The sequence below is a fragment of the Homo sapiens genome, chromosome 22, assembly GCF_000001405.40.
Source record: "Homo sapiens chromosome 22, GRCh38.p14 Primary Assembly".
NCBI classification, from domain to species: domain Eukaryota; kingdom Metazoa; phylum Chordata; class Mammalia; order Primates; family Hominidae; genus Homo; species Homo sapiens.
This window is the reverse complement of record NC_000022.11, coordinates 27,634,722-27,653,442: the sequence shown is the minus strand read 5'-3', so window position 1 is coordinate 27,653,442 and position 18,721 is coordinate 27,634,722. Positions and strand designations below refer to the sequence as shown.

The 18,721-nt window shown below is 50.7% G+C and overlaps 4 annotated features.

The window, feature by feature from the left end:
- Positions 10,522–11,455: an enhancer, noted in NCBI's record as "H3K27ac-H3K4me1 hESC enhancer chr22:28037955-28038888 (GRCh37/hg19 assembly coordinates)". NCBI's record gives its function as "activates a minimal SCP1, AML or CMV promoter by ChIP-STARR-seq in naive H9 embryonic stem cells {active_cell/tissue: H9 hESC(naive)}" and the evidence as "EXISTENCE:reporter gene assay evidence [ECO:0000049][PMID:30033119]".
- Positions 13,708–14,511: an enhancer, noted in NCBI's record as "H3K4me1 hESC enhancer chr22:28034897-28035700 (GRCh37/hg19 assembly coordinates)". NCBI's record gives its function as "activates a minimal SCP1, AML or CMV promoter by ChIP-STARR-seq in naive H9 embryonic stem cells {active_cell/tissue: H9 hESC(naive)}" and the evidence as "EXISTENCE:reporter gene assay evidence [ECO:0000049][PMID:30033119]".
- Positions 14,512–15,316: an enhancer, noted in NCBI's record as "H3K4me1 hESC enhancer chr22:28034092-28034896 (GRCh37/hg19 assembly coordinates)". NCBI's record gives its function as "activates a minimal SCP1, AML or CMV promoter by ChIP-STARR-seq in naive H9 embryonic stem cells {active_cell/tissue: H9 hESC(naive)}" and the evidence as "EXISTENCE:reporter gene assay evidence [ECO:0000049][PMID:30033119]".
- Positions 15,529–16,029: an enhancer, noted in NCBI's record as "H3K4me1 hESC enhancer chr22:28033379-28033879 (GRCh37/hg19 assembly coordinates)". NCBI's record gives its function as "activates a minimal SCP1, AML or CMV promoter by ChIP-STARR-seq in naive H9 embryonic stem cells {active_cell/tissue: H9 hESC(naive)}" and the evidence as "EXISTENCE:reporter gene assay evidence [ECO:0000049][PMID:30033119]".

Below are 18,721 nucleotides of genomic sequence, written 5' to 3'. Positions count from 1 at the left end.
TGACCCTCAGTTCCATCCATGTTTTTGCAAATGCCTGGGTCTCATTCTTTTTCATGGCTGAATAGTACTTCATCATGCATAGGTACCATATTTCTTTATCCATTCACCTGTTGATGGACACTTAGGCTGCTGCCAGATCTTGGCTATTGAGAACAGAGCTGCAATAAGCATGAGAGTGCAGATATCTCTTCGATAGACTGATTTCCATTCTTTTGAATAATAATATGAATATTCATAGAGTATGCAACGGAGAACCTTGCACTGGGCTAAGCCCTGAATCCCTCGTTTGTCATTTTGTTCTTACGACCACCCTGCGGCTCATGTTTTAGTGTGATCTCCACTTTACAATCAGGGACAGAGAGGCTCAAACCCAGGCCTTCACCTCTGCTTTCTGCAGGCTTTGGAGAGGCAAAACTCTCATGTCCTAGAGAACTTTGCCCGTGGCCTCTGCCTATTTGCCTCCCCACCAGGGAGGACTCAAGTCTCACCCATGCCTATAGAGCAGCCCCCAGATCCCTAAAGCCGTGCATTAGTGGGAGGGGGCAGCTCTGTGGCAGGGCCAAGGGCCAGGGCGCTAGGCCCTGCCGTATCTCAACAGGGATGTGTGGGTTTGGTGGGTAAGAAGTCGAGGTGCTTTAGAGGTGGGGCAAGGACATAAATGTTTGATCCTGCACCTTGTTCCTGACCCTGCGACCGTTCAATACCTGGTCCTGACCTCACCCCTGGGTCCCTGGGTCTGTATACTCCCCTTTCTCACTATGCTCCTAAATTTCTCACATCCACCAGGTTCCTGGATGAGTGAATGTGGTGCAAAGGCCCTGTGGTCCACACAGTCTGGGGTCCTTTTCCCTTCTATTCTCACATGTTGGTTGCTGTGTGTGTGTTTCTGTCCCGCAAGCAGGAAAACATGCTTCAGTGCCTGTTTGTTTTTGTTCATGTACGTGCAAGGGCCCTTGTGTCTTCATGGTGGTGAAGAACATGAATGCTGCTGCCAGCCTGCCGTGGGTTCAAATCCCAGCTCTGCTAGTTACCAGATGTGTGACTTCAGGCAAACCATGTAACCTCTCTGAGTGTCATCTGTAAAATGGGGATGAAAACAGCACTTAGCCTTGTTGTAAGAATTGAATGAATAACACAGACAAACTGTTGAGAAGAGCATTTGGCCCATGGTAAACTCTTGTAAGAGATAGCCCTGGTGAGAATGGTTTGTGGGTGTGGGTGTGTGTACATGTAAGTATGTGTATCTATGAGTGGATGTGGCAAATTGGGCCCAGAATCTTATGCAAGCAGGTTCATATATTACGCTTGTGTTTTTATACCTGTGTGAACCGCATGTGAGCTGTACATGTGTGATGAGTAGGTCAGACCTGGTAGACAAGAGACTCTTGCAAGGAGTGGATTTGTGCTTGCTTAAATATTTCATATCAGTGTTCATTCAATTGATTAACAATTCTACTCTTCGTGTAGAAGAGTTTGTAGGAAAATATAACTTGCTCTTTTTGCAGGAAGTAGTATTATCTGCCTGAAGACCCACTAGAAAGAGGGACTTCTCTTGCCCCTTCCAGCTTGGAATCAGGGACGTTGCCCCCTAGGCAGGAACTAGGGAATGCTCACGTGCCCAGGGTGGGCTGGTAAGGCCCTTTGCTCAGCCTGTAACTATGTATCTGCAAGGCTGGCTTCAGGAGCCTCTCCCTGGGTCCACTGGGGAACCACCTCCCTCTGGTGTACTATGAAGGCCAAGGGAGGTGTTGGCCCCAGTCCTTCCCCCTGAGTGTTTTTATTCTGTCCTGAGGTTCACATTTCAGTTTTAAATTTAGCCACTCGCGAAGCCTTATGTAACCCTGGCAGATTTGTCTTTCCAACTCTGGCTCCTGTGTGGCAATTGGGGCCCGCTCCAGCCTTTTTGGAAAGGAAGAGAATCTAAATGATCAGGAGAGGAAACAGAGGGGCCAAGAGACCCTAAAAGTTCCCCTCAGTCTCTCCCTGAGACACATCCCATTTCTTAATCATTTCTCTCTTTTCGAGAGCCTCTATGCCACCTGGCCACTTCCCTCCTTTTTTTGATCACATGAAGCTGGTGCCAGGATACTTAACTGGAAGTCATAAGATGCAGGTTTGAGACCTGACTCACCTCGGGGTCTCTACATGACCTGGGGCAAGACCCTTCAGCTCCGTGGACCTCAATTTCCCCACTTATCCATGGAGGCTTCAGTTCCTCCCCCCTGGTTGTCTCTGAGGGCACCATGTGGATTCAATAGATGGGAGTGTGTTTATGAACTGTGATTCACTTACGTCTTCTCTTGAGTTTCCCAGAAGCCCTGGCTCTAGAAATCTTTATTGATTAATTTGTGGCTGGGAAGGGGAGTATGAGGTATGGTCAGGGGGCTCAGAAGGGGGCTTAACTTTTGTTTCCTCAGAGCCTGGCAGGCACATAGAAGGTGCCAAGCAGTTGGTGGTTGAATGGATGACACCTTCCTGGGGTGATCATTTTTGGAATGTGGCCCACCCAAGGTCACACAGCCGGTGAGGACCAGCTGGTAGCTATTCTCTCTGCTGTGAGGGCATGGACCCTGGTGGGTGACACCAGCCGCCATTGTGCATGTCCTATGTGTGCGTGTCCAGGAGGCGGGGGGTGGGGGATTAGCATTCATAGGGCACATGGCCGCTAGAGGAGGCTGCCTGGTCCCCCGTGGGAGGCCGGATGTTCCAGCCATTGGGCCAGCTTGTCTCGGGAGGGGCGAGAACCTGACACCCCCAAACACTTGGTCCTGTCACTCCTGGAGGATTTGGTGAGCTGGTGGGTGACTTGGTCGGGTACATGCTGAGCTGGGTGGCTGGGAGGTAGGGAAGTTGGTACATTCCTTGTGAGCCCAGCACTGCAGGACAGTAGGACATGGCACATAGTAGGTGTTTCATAAATATTTTTATATGAATAAACAACCAAAAAATTATTGATCTCATTGCCTAAAACCTCAACCAGTCTTCCATAACTCAATATATATGTTCCTCCCATGATCTCAAAACCTAAATTCAGAAACCTGGGAGTCATGCTTGCTTTCCCACAATGGTTCATCTCCACAACCCACCTATTTCCAAGACCTGCAAATTCTCCCTTCAAAATGTACCCCAAATCCACCCTTCCCAGCATCTCTCACTTGGATGCCTGTGGCCACCTCTGCATGAACCTCATTTCTTCTTCTCTCACTCCCACCACCTCCTTCTCCACCAGGTGATCTTGGCAAAGTGTGAGTGGCTCTGTCAGTCCTCTGTTTAAAACCTGTGGCTTTTGGCTGGGCGCGGTGGCTCACGCCTGTAATCCCAGCACTTTGGGAAGCCGAGGTGGGCAGGTCATCTGAGGTCAGGAGTTTGAGACCAGCCTGGCCAACATGGTGAAACCCCGTCTCTACTAAAAATACCAAAAGATTAGCTGGGCATGGTGGCACATGCCTGTAATTCCAGCTACTCAGGAGGCTGAGGCAGGAGAATTGCTTGAACCCGGGAAGCGGAGGTTGCGTTGAGCCGATATCACACCACTGCACTCCAGCCTGGGCAACAGAGTGAGACTCCCTCTCAAAAAACAAAACAAAACAAAAACCTGTGGCTTTTGAGTTAAAATTCACACTCTGTCTGGGTGCCTCCATCTTCTCCTTACTCATGAAGCCTCAGCCACTGCTCTCAGTTGCTCTCCTTAACCGTGCCAAGCATGGCTAGGTTCCCACTTCCGACCCATCTTCATGATTTTAGGGCTGGTTTTTTCTTGTCTGGTAGGCTCCTTATATTTGAAGCTTTGTTCTTATCTTCCTATTATTTTTTTTCTCGCAGTCATTTCTTGATATTAAGTTATAGGGACATGTCTGGGACAGGATTGCGATGAAGAAGGTAGAGGGTGGTTGGAATGATTTGGGAGGAGTGGAGAGGGATACTTCACCAGGATGGGCTGTTTGCCACGTAGTCACCCACTGAACTATACTCCCTCTTTCCTTCCACCATCCATCCATCCACCCATCCATCATCCATCCATCCATCCATCCATCCATCCATCCATCCATCCATCCATCCATCCATCCATGCATCCTACCCTCTCACTCATCCATCTATTCAACTACTAATCTCTATATCCGTTCATCCATTCATCCACCCACCCACCCATTCATATACCCATTTTTCCATCCACCCGCCCACTCACCCGTCTATCCATCCATCCATTCATCCATTCGTCTATCCATCCATCAATCTATCCACTTATCTATCATCCATCCATCCATTCATCCATTCTACCCTCCTACTTATCCATCTATTCAGCTACTAATCTCTACATCCATTCATCCATCCATCCACCCACCCACCCTTCTATCCATCAATCTATCCACTTATCTATCATCCCTCCATCCATTCATTCACCTATGCATCCATCCTTTCACCTACGCACCCACCCATCCATCCTTTCATTCATTTGTCCATCCATCTACCCATCCACCTACTTATTCACCCATCCATCCACCCACCTATCCACACACTCACCCATACACCTATCCATCCATCCATCCATCCATCCATCCATCCATCCATCCATCCCCCCATCCCTTCATCCCATCTTGATCTGGCCAAAGTATGTAATTTGCTGTACTTCAGTTATCTTTTCTTTAGAATGAGGCAACCCTACTTACCTTATGGGACTGCTGTGAGGATCACAGGAGATGATGTGTGCACAGTTGCTAAGAGTGTGCCTGGCACAGAGGAAAGGCTCAGCCAACATTTCTCTCAGAAGCACCTGGATTTTGGTACACAGCCTGCTCCTCTAGCCTTTGTACTCTTTAAGCTTCTACCTTCTCTTCCCCCAGCAAGTTGCTTCCTAGAGGGCTCAGTCACATCACACCACTCTGTGGAAGGAGGAGAGGAGCTGCTGCCCAGGTGACCCACAACCCAAGGGAGGAGGTGGGCATTGGACAGCCTGTCCCATTGCCCTGTGAAGGACAGGGGAGATACTCATGAGGGACCAGCGTGCGCATGTAAATGTAGGCACGTCTCTCTTTTTCTCTGGAGATCTCCCTGCCTCTCTTTCTTTACTTCTTTCCCCCTTGTTCCCATCTCTCTCCCCTTCCCTTTCATTCCCTTCTCTTCAATTCACTTCTATTTCTCTCCCCAACTCTCACTCTTTGTCTTTTTTTCCTCTCTCTTTTCTCTTATCTCACTGCTTCCTCCTCCTTCTCTTCCTTTTCTCCTCCTTCTCCTCTGTCTTTCCTTCCTTTTGCTCTTCCCCCTCCTCCTTCTTCTCCTTCTTGTTTGCTCAGCACTAGATGGAGGATCTGATTCTGCAGTCTTGGTTGGTCCTGGCTTCCCAGAAAATAACATCATTACACCACATTCTTAGAATCTTAGAGTGCCCCTATATGGCATCTGAGCTGCAGAGGGCCTCTGAAACAGAGAAGAATGGAATCAGAGGACCACAGTGTCAGGAATTATGAGAGCTAAGCTCTCTAGAACTTTAAAATTAAGGCTTATTGAATCTTGGAAAACAATAGAATGTCTGGAGAATAGGAGTTCAGAATCACTGACTTCCTTGGAGCTGGCTCTGCAAGTTTTCAATATGCCGTTCCTAGATTGCCACCACCTTCATTTAACAACTCTTTACTGTTGTAAAGCACCTGCTATGTGCTAGGCACTGTTTTGGGCTACTTGGGATAAACCCATGAACTAAGCAGGCAAAAATTCCCGCTTTCTGGACTTTGCCCCAGGGACGAGGCAGGGCCTGGGACTAACACATAGTGAACTGATAAGACAGGTGGGAGGTGAGTGCTATGGATTTTTTGGCATAACCATGTACTGCCTGTGTTCTTTACTTCATATTTTTCTTTAAGTAGACTCACTTTAAAACACACAAATATATTTTTAAAAGGAAGCTATATATTGCTGAAAATAATGAGAAACCAATATCGGTGTCCGCCAGCAGAAAGTGTCTTCAAAAATGAGTACAATGGGCCAGACACGGTGGCTCATGCCTATAATCCCAGCACTTTGGGAGGCCGAAGCAGGTGGATCACTTGAGGTCAGGAGTTCAAGACCAGCCTGGTGACACGGTGAAACCTCATCTCTACTAAAAATACAAAAATTAGTTGGGCGTGGTGACGGGCATCTGTAATACCAGCTATTTGGGAGGCTGAGGCAGGGGAATCGTTTGAACCTGGGAGGCAGAGGTTTCATTGAGTCAAGATCATGCCACTGCACACCAGCCTGGGTGACAGAGACTCCATCCCAAAAGAAAAAAAAAAAAAGAGGACAGTGGGTGCAAGCCTGTAGTCCCAGCTACCCTGGGAGGATTGCTTGGGCCCAGGAGTTCGAGGCCAGCCCAGGTAACATAGCAAGACCCCATCTCTAACTAAAAAACCAACCAAAAAAGGGCTGCAGTCAGTGGCTCATGCCTGTAATCCCAGCACCTTGGGAGGCTGAGGCTGGTGGATCACTGGAGGCCAGAAGTTCGAGACCAGCCTGGCCAACATGGCAAAACCCCATCTCTACTAAAAATACAAAAATCAGCTGGGCGTGGTGGCGCATGCCTGTAATCCCAGCTTCTTGGGAGGCTGAGGCAGGATAATTACTTGAACCCGGGAGGTGGAGGTTGCAATGAGCTGAGATCACGCCATTGTGCTCCAGCCTGGGCGACAGAGTGAGACTCCATCTCAAACAAAAACAAAAACAAAAACAAACTAACTAAAATAAATAAATAAATACAAATAATCGAACAAAAAACCCCAAAAAAAGAAGCACAGTGGAAATAAAATCCTGTAATGAGAAACCTGGCTTGATGCTGTTCCTTGTCTCTTTGGGAGCATGAGGACTGCATGCCCCCACTCTTTGTTGTGAAGGAGAATTGGCAAGTGTCGGAGCCACCACAAGCAGACAGGCTATAAAGAAGGTGAAAAAGAAAAAGAAATGATTTAAATATCCTCCCTGTACCACTGAAATCCTCGGGCCTGGCCTCAGCCTGCCGCTCCAGGGCCCCAGCAGGGAGGACCTGGGTGATGTTAGGGCAAATCACCTTACCTCTTTGAGCATCAGTTTCCCCATCTGGAAATAAGGGGATGATGAAGGCACCTTTCTCCTGGCACTCTTGTAGGGATTGATTAAAGTAAGTGCTTCAGGTGAACTGAAAGATTTGCAATTCCTTCTAGGCCTATAGGGACGGTCATTCCAGGCTGCTAGGGGGAGGGTCCCTAGGCCCAGCGTAGCACCTCCCTGGCCATCTACACCCTCACACCTTCTTCTCCACCTCCTTCTCCACCTACTTCACCTGGCCCTGGTGGGAGCTGGAAGGGTTGCCTCATCTAGGCTGAGCCCTCTGGAGTAATTTACGGGCCTGCAGTCCCATCCTCCCTAGTTTCTCCCAGCTGGGAGGCTCTCATCTGCCTGCCAACCCCCAACACCTCTGTGTTTCATGCCCATTGAGATTTAGGGTTCCACCATTTTCCTGAAGGCAAATCGGGCCGAGGGGAATTTTAATGCAGCTTTATCAGCTACATCATGCTCACTTTACTTGGCAGGGAAATTGCCGGTGGGGGGTTGGACAAATGCTTGGAACAGGCGATAAACTCCCAACATCTGTATTCCCTGCAAGAAGGGGCTGTGGGCCCTGAAGACCCTAGGGAGGCCTTGAGTTCAGATGGCTTGAAACTCCCTATCATCCACATCTAAACCTTCCAAAGGATCCAGAACTTCTCCAGGTAGGAAACTCATTCATTCATTCAGTCATTCATATGTGTAACTCATTCATTCATTCATTCGTGTGTTCCTTCAACGAGTATTTAACCAGTGCCTGCCCTAGGCCAAGCCCTGGGGGTCTAGTTATGAAAAGAACGTGAATCCTGCCCTCTTGGACCTCACATTCCTATGGGCAACAGGATTCCCTTGTCTCAGGAAGCCCAGGAGGCTGTGAGAGCCCGAAGAAGCAGCTGGCCCCACCCGGGAAGTCCCAGAAGGCTTCCTGGTGTTGGTGGTGATGATGGTGGTTGTGGGGCATATAAGTGAGCAACTGAAGGACAAAAAGGAGCATCTAAGTCCAGGAAGGCTTCCTGGTGGTGGTGGTGATGGTGGTGGTAGAGAATATAAGCTGAGTGACTGAAGGACAAGAAAGAACACCCAAGGCTTTGGACGATGGTAAGAACTGTGTTCTAAGGTGGTGGGGAGTCATTAAGGAAGTGGAATGGAAGTCAGCTGTGAGGAGGGAGGGGTCAGAGTGGACACAGGGAGGTAAGCGAGGAGGCCGCTGCCCTGTCCAGGAGACAAGAGAGGACTGGGGATGGAGCGAAGTGGACACACCTGGAAAATTTATGGGGTGGTATCCGTGGGACCTGGACCAGGGCAGAGGGTTTGTGGCTTGGTGGGTGTCAGTAGGGTGGGGGTCCTGGACCTCAGACCATCAGGGGACGGTAAAGAACATTTGTGCTGGGCGCGCTCTCGCTGCATTTGTTTTTCTTTGGCTACCCTGACTCAGAGTTGAAAAATCTCTTGTATATCAGCTAGGCGGCCTTGGCGTGCCCTGGGGTGGACCCCAGCTCCTGTCTTCTTTCCCAGTGAGATGGGAATGAGGGTTACCCTTGCAGCAAAAGCCCCACCCTCCCACTCCAGGCAGGGGGCTGGGGGCATGGGAGTCCACGACCTGGGGTGGGGCAGCGGAGCCCTTGGGGGCAGAGGTGAGGGAGGGGTGACCTTTCTACTATCTCTCAGTCCAGCCCTCTGGTTTGATCTGGGGCCCTCTGTGTGTTCTTTTGTATAAGGAAGACCTTGAGTTTCTCTCTGCAATGCTCACTCCCTCCTTCCCGCCCTACTTCCGTCCATCCACTCAGTCCTTATTTACGGAGGGCTCACTATGTTACAGGCACAGTTTTAGGCACTGGGGATACAGCACAGGATGAATCAGGCAAAAATCCCAGCCCTGACCTCATGGAGCTTACACCAGAGCAGAAGGATGACGAAGGATAAACAGAGTAGGCTAAAATATATAATATGCCAGAATAACAATAAAAATAAGGCAGAGGCAGCAAAAGAGAGCAGTGGGGTAGTCAGTGCCCTACTGAACTGAGATCCTGAATTACTTCATACCATTTCCACGCCTGGCCTGTACTTTACGGATACACTACCTACGCGTGTATCCATAAAAGGTATACTGTGCGGCTTGGCAGGTTTTAAAACTTTCTATAAATGCAAGCATCCCATATGCATATTCTGTGATTGCTTTTTTGGCTCGACATCCTATTTTGAGACTGATCCTTGTTGATACGTGACGCTCCAGTTGACACACTGTCACTGCGATAGACTATTCCGCAGTATGAATATGTCACTACTCATTGAGTCATCTTTCCGGTGATGGACACTTAGGTTGTTTCCAATTTTTTTTTCTCTTACCACCCAAGCTGTAGGAACTTTCTTATACCAGTCGACACCCCTGGACTCCAGTGTTTTCTAAAAGAAAAGCACCTGGCGACAGAAAGCCAATACTATCTGTCAAATTGCCCAACATGGTCTACAATGACGACGATGATGATGTTGAAAAAAAAATAGCTCCGGGGACTGAGGGCTTCTTTCATGTAGGATCATTCCAGTCACATTAGCCCACCACCTCCTTTCCATCCTCATATGATAAAAGGTAGACTCCAGGATTGTTCTCACGTAGCAGACACAGGCCCGGAGAACAGGGAGGTTAAGCAGGTTCCCTAAGGCCACTCGACTAGGAAGGGACAGCTGGAATGCCAACCTGGACACTCTGAGCGTCGCCACTGCACTGCCTGGTCCCTCTCTCTCCATAGCTCTGCTCCATCAGAGTGTTCTCATTATATCCCTTAAACACCCTCAGCATGGTCCTGCCTCTAAGCATTCACACCAGCTGTTCCCTCTGTCCAGAATGCTTTTCCAGTCTCATCTCCAAGGCTGCCTCTCAGACCCTTCCTGGATCCTTTCCTCCTTTCTTTTCTCTCTTGTTTTTTTTTTTTGAGTTAGGGTCTTGCTCTGTCTCTCAGTGTAGTGGTATGATCATAGCTCAATACAGCTTCAACCTTCCTGGGCTCAAGCGATCCTTCCATTTCAGCATCCTGAATAGCTGGGACTGCAGGCATGCACCACCATGCTCAGCTAATTTTTTGATTTTTTTGTAGAGACCAGGTTTCACCATGTTGCCCAGGCTGGTCTTCAACTCCTAGGCTCAAGTGATCCACCAGCCTCAGCCCCACAAAGTGCTGGGATTACAGGCGTCAGCCACTGTGTCCCACCTCTGGGCAGTTTCTTGATCTCATTTATGGCTATAACCTAGCCTAGCATGGCACAGACTATTGTAGATGCTCAGTAAGTGATACTTTGACAGAGTGCTTGCACCATGCCAGGCTCTGGGCTGAGTGCTTTGCAGATATAAGCTCATTTCACCTTCACAATTATCCCTTGAAGTGGGAAGATGGTTTTCATTATACACCAAGGAGGAAGAGGAGGAAGAGGATCAGGGGCTCTCAGAGGCATTAAGTAACTTGCCCAGTGCACGCAACAAGGGAAAGCAGAGGCCAGATTTGGAACCAGGTCTGCCCTGCTCCATCTCGCCACTGCCTCTCCATGTCTTCCTGGGGACTTGAGCATCACAGAACTCACATATCAGAGTTTGGTGATGACGCCTTCACTTCACAAGAGGGGAAAGTGAGGCCCAGAGAAGGACCAGGACTTGCCCAGGATCACCCAGCGAGTTGGTAGCAGATAAGGTCAAGCTCTTGTAAACTCCTGGACTTCCCAGGCCACTGTGACCCTGGCCACGCTGGCTTGGTATCCATGGCCCATCAGAATGAGGGTGACATGTGCTGCATCTCTCTCTCCACATTGGGGGCCGCTGGCCAGGGATGTGGCTGAGAAGGTAAAGCGAGAAGCCTGGATCAGAGATGTGTCTGTCACTGTGACGGGACGCTCAAGGCAGATCCATTATTCAGGTCATCAGGCTGGAGCCACCAGGCAGGCGAGGGAGGCCTGCTGCAGCCGGACGGTCAGCTGGCAGGGCCGAGGGGGGGCTGCAGGTCCCCGGGAGCTGTCACTGCTGACTGATGGATGGGGACAGCTTCCAGTCGCCGGCCATCCCCGCCACGAGCCCCGTGGCCATCTCTGCGGCCGCCCACGCTGGCCTCCCGCCCGGCGCCTTGCTTTGAACGTCCACAAGGCCTTTTGTTCTCGCAGCAGGAGCTGGGCAGGCAGCGTTGAGGGGCCCCTTTCAGAGGAAGGAGCCGCCTGCTGGGGCCTCCCCCTGCCCTCGACCCCTGCTGTGTTCCTCTAATTACCTGTGGGCAGGAGGGGCTGGCTGAGGGGTCCAGCTGAGCCCTGAGGAATCTGCTGGGGGAGGGGGTGGTGACGGTGGTGTGGCCATAGAGGCCTCAAATTCCAACCCAAAGAGATCGTCCCGATCACAAATTGGAAACTGAGTCCCGGAGAGGGCAACTGCCTTGCTTGAGGTCACACAGCGAGTTAGAAGTAGGGCTTGGTCTGGACCCAGGGGTGTTTTGACTCCCCAAGGTAAGAGGTGGGAAGAGAACTGGTGCTTAATAATTTTGAACACCTACTTGACACCTGCCATCTTATTGAATCAGGTCCTTCACTTCCCAGCTCCGGGTCCTCAGGCAGGTCAATTTCCTCTCTCAGCCCCGGTTTCTTCATCTATGCAACACACTTATTTACCAAGGACCTTTTCTATTCAAGACCATGACGAGACATAAATTAGACATGGTCTCTAGCCTCAAGGAGCCCACCAATAGAGGGAGTCTGTAGATGACTTGGCACCCGTGGTAAGTGCTGGGGTGCATGGGTGGAGATGGCTGTGGGGCCTCACAGGGGACAGGAGGGGCCCACGGAGGGCACAGTGTCTGCTGATTTTATCCAGGGAGGTGGCTTTGAAGAGCTGCAGATGATCTCCTGGCTGTGAGGAGCCACTGGAGGAGCTGAGGCAGAGGCAGGGGGTAGCCAGGAGTCTACTGGAAAGGTCCAGGCAAGAGGTGATGAGGGCTAGGTCAAGCGGCAGTCCCTGAACCTTCACACAGTCTGGACTTTGAACCAGTGGGCCTCAGACTCTTGGTGTAGCTGCTTTTTGGTGGTTCCTTAAAAAGCTAAACATAGATTTGCCGTATGACCCAGCAATACCACTCCTGGGAATATGCCCAAAGGAATTGTAAACAGATACTTGAACAGATACTTGTACACCCGTGCTTGTAGCAGCATTATTCATAGTAGGCAAGCTGTGGAAACAGCCTAGGTGTCTATCTACGGATAAATGGATAAACAAAATGTGGCATATCCATACAATGGAATCTTGTTCAGCCATATAAAGGAATGAAGTTCTGATACATGCTACAACATGAATGTACCTTGAAAACATTATGCTAAGTGAAAGAAGCCAGACACAGAAGGACAAATATTGCGTGATTCCACTCATGTGAAATATCTACAATAGGCAAATTCACAGAGACAGAAAGTGGTTAATAGGGGGCAGGGGGAGGGGGAAATAGGAGAGTTACTGCTTAATAGGTACAGAGTTTCTTTTTGGGGTGATCAAAAAGTTTTAGAAATAGACAGTTGTGGCTGGGCATGGTGGCTCATGCCTGTAATCCCAGTACTTTGGGAGGCAGAGGTGGGTGGATCACATGAGCCCAGGAGTTCGAGACCAGCCTGGGCAACATGGCAAAACCCTGTCTCTAAAAAAAATACAAAAATTATCTGGGCATGGTGGTGTGTGCCTGTAATCCCAGCTGCTTGGGAAGCTGAGGTGGGAATATCCCTGAGAGTGGGAGGCAGAGGTTGCAGTGAGCTGAGATCACGCCACTGCACTCCAGCCTGGGTGAGAGAGCGAGACCCTGTGTCAAAAAAAAAAAAAAAAAAAAAAGAGAGAGAGATGGGGTGATGGTTGTGTGACATTATGAATGTACTTAATGCCACTGAATTGTTCATTGTATAACTCATTGACATTGATTTAATACATTGCATTGAAATGGGTGAGTTGTATGCTATGAGTTTAGCTATCTCAATGAAGCTAAATTCAAAAACCAGGGCCGGGCGTTGTGACTCAAGCCTGTAGTCCCAGCACTTTGGGAGGCCAAAGCAGGAGAATCGCTTGAGCTCATGAGTTCGAGACCAGCCTGGGCAACATGGCGAAACCCCATCTCTACAAAAAATACAAAAATTAGCCAGGTGTGATGGCACACACCTGTAGTCCCAGCTACTTGGGAGGCTGAGGCAGGAGGGTTGCTTGAACCTGGGAGGTGGAGGTTGCAGTGAGCCCAGTGAGCCTGGGCGATAGAGCCCGACCTTGTCTCAAAAGAAAACAAAAACAAAAACAAAACAAAACAAAAAACCAAATGAGTGGAGTTCGTGGGTTGGAGTCCTGAGGCCCTCAGTAAAATGGGAAGAAGGGAAAGTCATCTTAGGGGAGATGAAGGCCACGGTGTGTCTGATTTTGCAAATCATGACTGGCTGCCCATGTCCCTTTGCTGTGGACATTTTCCGTTTTGGGAGATTCGAGCCCCACTCCTAGGCTGACTTGCTGTGTGCCCTTTGCTGAGTTGCACAACCTCTCTGAGTCTCAGTTGTCTCATCTATGTATCAATCTATTTGCTTCAGGCTAACCATTTGCTGGGCACAGGGTCAGACATTTGCTCTGAATCTTTCTTTCAGTCCTCACCCTATTTGAAAGGAGAACACAAGGGCCCAGGGAGGGTGGGAGCCTTGCCAGGAGCTCCTAGAGAGTGTGGCTGAGACAACCTGAGAGCTTGGCCTGGGGCTGGCCCAGGGTTTGCCTCAGTCCTCATCTCCCACTGGCCCTGAGAACTCCTTACCCAGCCCCGCTCCCCTCCCCTTTGCATCCGTTTGGAGTTGGTCACGGATTTTGTTCCTTCTGCAAATGATCTCCATGTGTCACGGATTGGGTTTCCCCTCGTCTGGCCCTGTCCCTCTTGGGACCCCAGGCCCCCCACGGGCTGATGCAGCTGGACGGGGCCTCCCCAGCAGCTCCGTGGCTCATTCTGACCCTGAGATGGGGCCCAGGCAGGATGGGGCCTGGGCATCTGGTTTAACCATCAGAGCAGGGGCTTGTTTCGGTTTTAATGACGCATGGAGACCTCGGGAGAGGGAGAGGGAGCCGACTGGCAAACGGGGTGCAGAGAGGCAGCAGGGCCGATGGGACAGCGGAACTGAACAAACAAATACCGGAGCGTTAATGGGGGACTCTGCGGCCGAGAAGTCGCACTCACACTCATGCACGTGTGTAAGCACACACACGCACACATGCTGATGGAAAAGCCACCTTGCACACACCTACTTGCAGACGTTCCCGCCTCCTTCGCTCTAGCCGTCTAAATGTCATGCTGGTCTCCGCACATTCTCAGTGCCGTCCAGCCCCTCGGCCTTTGCCTAGGCCGGCTCCCCCACCTGGAATGCCATCCCTGCAAATGCCAGTCCTGCGGTTTGCGATGCCCGTGCTTCAGGGAACCCTTCCCTCATCCCACCTCCCCACCACCAGAGGCGGGGCCCCTCCTCCTCAGGCCTGTGGGTGGGGGAGAAGCCGCAGACAAGCTTCTGCTCAGCTGCATGGGTGCCCTGTGATCTTGGGCAAGTCCCTTCCCCACCCCAGAGCCTGAGTTCCCAGTGCTCCATCTGGAAAAGGCAACTCCACACCTCCTGCCTTCCTGGGTTCTCGCAACCGCCTTACTGTGATTGTCCCCATTTTGAGGCTGAGAAAAGAGAGGTTCAGAGAGGTTTAGTAAGTAGTCCAAGGTCACCCAGCTGGTTAGTAGGAGACTGGCTGAAACCCCAGTACCTATGCCTTCCCCTACTTCTGTTGCTGAGAACGGTCAGATCAGCCCAGGAGTCAGACAGACCTGTGCCGACTGCCCCTTGGGCAGAGTCAACTGGGCCCTCATTGTTTCTCGGCTCCCCCTTCATTGTTATTCTGACAGGGGCATGTGATTCACAAGAGCTCATTTGCTCCCAGCCCAGCCAGGGGTCCCTGAGCATCTGCCAACCCCTCTCTGGGCCTCAGCCTCCTCATCTGCAGGTGGAGAAGCGTATTCCTGCTCTCTTGACCCTACCTGCCATGCTAGGTGGTACTTGGGGTGGGAATAGATGCTTCCAGTTCTCAGCAGAGGAAACTGAGGCTCAGGAAGGCCAGGGCGGGGCTGGGATTCAAACCCATGCTTTGGACTTCGTGCCTGGCTTTGTCCATTGACCCCAGACTGCCTTCTGCCTCTAACTGGCAGGTGCAAACCAAGCCTGGGGGGTGCCATCCACCTTGTTAACCCCTTTACTAATCCGGGCTTTGGAGGGTTTATCAGAATAAGCATGAGGGCTGGGAGGGTTTGGGAAGGTGGTCTGGGGAGGGAAAGACTCACTGGGGACTTGGGGCTCCGTGGATCTTTCTGCCCAACTCCCAAGTTCATTTCATCTGTCAAATGGGCATACTATTACTGCCTGCTTTGTAGGTGTTGGTGAGGATGAAGAGGAGTTAGTGGTAAAATATGCCCAGTGCTGAGAATGGTGCCTGGCCTATCCACGCTTCATGTAAGCATTGGCTGGTTACCAGCATCGAGTGTTAGCATTATTTATTAATCATTGGCTTGGAATGACATCTGTTAGGCACCGGGGCTGTCTTTTTAGCAAAGACCTAGTTCACTGTTACAAGGACTTGGGGTTGACTCAGGGTATGGCAATGGCCTTGGCCTCTCCAAGCCTCAGTTTCTGCATCTGTGAAATGGAGATGATACCCCCAGCCTCCCTCACCCATCTTTTGCAAACATAGTCTCTAGCTGTTCCAAGCTGCCAGATGCCAGATCTGCTCAGAGGCCCACACAGGTCTCTCAGCTCATCTCTGACAGCGAGTCTCCACCCCAGGGCTCAGGGAGGCCCAGGAGGCCAGCTTCTCCAGGGTGGGTGGTGGGTACTATTAGACTTCAGTGCCTGGTTTCTCTAACTGCGGGGCTGGCTATGGCCAGGCTGATCCTCCATCTAGACTGAAAATACCCGTGCAAATCCCTCCTGTAAAATCCTCGGCCCCCTCCTGTGGGGCCTCCTGGGGACATGCCAGAGGCTAAAATAAGACCTGAAGTCAGCAGAGGCCTGTCCCCGGCTGCCACCTGATTCTACCAGTCCCTCAGGGACTTGGTGCTCCTGGCACAGACGGATTCTGAAATGACCGTCAGCAGGCAAGTGCCAGGCTGAGCCATCTCCAGTCCCTGAGGAGTTTTAGGATGCAGATTCCCTGGACTGACTCCATGAGGTAGAGTCAGTGGCTCGCAGTCGGGCCCAGGGAAACTGTGTTTTATAAAACTCTCAGGAGGTTGTGCTGACAGCTAGTGTTGGATGTCCATGTTCCACCGCCATTGATACTGACTTCTGTTTGCTTATTCATGCCTTTGTCTCCTTTTCAGTGGTGCTGGGAGCCTCTAAGGGCAGGGCTGGGTTTTCTGTCTGTCTGAGCAAATGCTGGGTGAAATGATGAATGAATGAATGAATGAATGAATGAATGAATGGACAAATGAATGAGTGGATAAGCAGCTCCCTGGAGAATTTTGGACCTTCCCTGCCACTGATGGGGGTGAGAGCTTTGGGGCTGATATTCCCCTGGATACCTGAGCTCAGTTTAGAGGTAGGAGGAGGCATTTTTTTCAGATTGCTTGGAGCCCTCTCCTCCAGGGAGCCGTCCCTGATGCCTTCCCCATCTGCTGTGCCCCACATCCCCTACTTTCCCACCCATCTCATGCCCTTCCCTTGTTTGTTTCCCTCTGCCCAGGACCCACCTTATGCCTGACTCAGGATGCTGTCAGTAACTGTTGAATGACCATGCAGATGAATGAATGAAGTATCTGTAAGACCAAATCTCTCCTTGGCTTTGCCTTCCAATAAAGGGAAGTCTTGGAAGAAGATGCCCCTCTCTTGCCACACTCTGCCTCCCCAACCGTTGTCTTTACTCCAGTCCTGCCACATTTTTCAAGTTCTCTCCATTTTCTCCAGCCACCAAGCCTTTGCACCTGCTGTTCCTTGTGCCTGAAACTCCCTCTGCCTTTGCTAATTCCTTCTTCTCCACATCTTTGCTTCAATGTTTTGGCTGTGAGTTGCCCTGATTGCTCCCCCAAAGCCCCATGTTCTCGCCAAAGCTGCCACCTTCCTTCCTACTTAAAGTGTGAGCTCTTTGATGCAGAGGCTGTATCGACTTCATTTCTGCTTCTCCAGCACCCAAGCCGGGAATGTTTGTTGAATTAATGCATAACCTTGTTAAAAAGCCTCAGCTGTGCTTTCTAAAAATATTGGTTCTAAATCCCAGCATGGCTGGGGGACCCAGGCTGAGGATCCCAGAGACGGGTGAGGCGTGGAGGGTACAGATGTGTCTCTAGGACAGGGCCTTTGACAGGTCCTGCCAGGCCTGGAAATGCTGTTCCATCGCCCAGGACCAGAGACCACTTTTCCACTGAGCAGTGGCTCTCTGGCCTGAGGCTGCACTGACATTCCCATCGCCAAGCTGTCCATCTCTCCCAGAGTTCACAGTGGAACTGAACTGGCTGGAAGTCAGGTAGTGAGGGGTGGAGAAGCAGAGGATGAGCCTGCTGTATGAAGCTCCAAAGGGAGGCTGAAGAGAGAGAGTTCTGGGCTGGGCCCCCACCTGCCCTTGAAACCTGGAGGAGCAGCACCCAGGAAAAGCTCTTGGTAACTTCTCAGGCCCATGTGAATGTCAGGGTTTATGATTATCATCAGGTGACAAGTTCTCATGGTCTGATCCATCTTTCTGAGTGATGGTGATGATGGTAGTATCTCCATTGATTGACAGCTCATGATTGCCTGGTCTAGGGCTGAATGCCGGGGAGGTGGAGAAAAATAATAACACACCGACCACACAGATTGAGTATCTTGAATGTGCTGGGCACTCTTTTGATTGCACTTTCTATATGACCTCATTTAAACCTCTTGAGAACCCAGTTTACCAATGAGGCAACTGAGACCAAGAGAGGCTAAGAGAGTCTCTTAAGGTCACAGAGCTGGGAACAGACAGAGGCAGGATTTGTCTCAGGGCCTCTGTGCCTCTGACCACGATAATATGTGGTGTCTGGGTTGGTCATAGCCCCTGCATTGAGGGGGCCAGGCACTCCCACACTAAACTCTCAAGCTCCTGCAGCTCTTTCGTTCCAACAGGTGCACGCATGCCTTCGTGTCTTCTCTCACACTTATTCAATCAACAAACATTTGTTGAGTACCTACTATGAGCCAGGACTGTTCTCGGCATTGGGCTATGGAAAAAAGTACCCCATGCAGAGGAGATGACTTTTGAGCTTAAGTTATACTCTGGTACGTGCCCGAAGGCAAAGACCAGGTAAATGCACTCACCGTATGTGTGTGTGTGTGTGTGTGTGTGTGTACTCGTGCAAAATCAGGGAAGCCTTCCTGGAGGAAGAGAAGTTGAAATCGGGACCTGAAGGAGGAATGGGAGAGAGAGGGAGCTGGTGAGGGTGCAGCGGCAGGGGGACAGGAGAAGCTCGCATGGGCCGGATGATTGGGTTCGTCCCACCCCCAGGCCTTTGCTTGGTGTGTTCCTCTGCCTGTGACACTTTTCCCTCTTCTTGATATCACTCCTGCTTCCTTTCCAAGTCTCAGGTGAGACATTGCCTCCTCCAGGAAGCCTTCCTGATGGTCCCTCGGCTGGGTCAGTGGCCTCCTCTAGGTCCCTACAACTCCC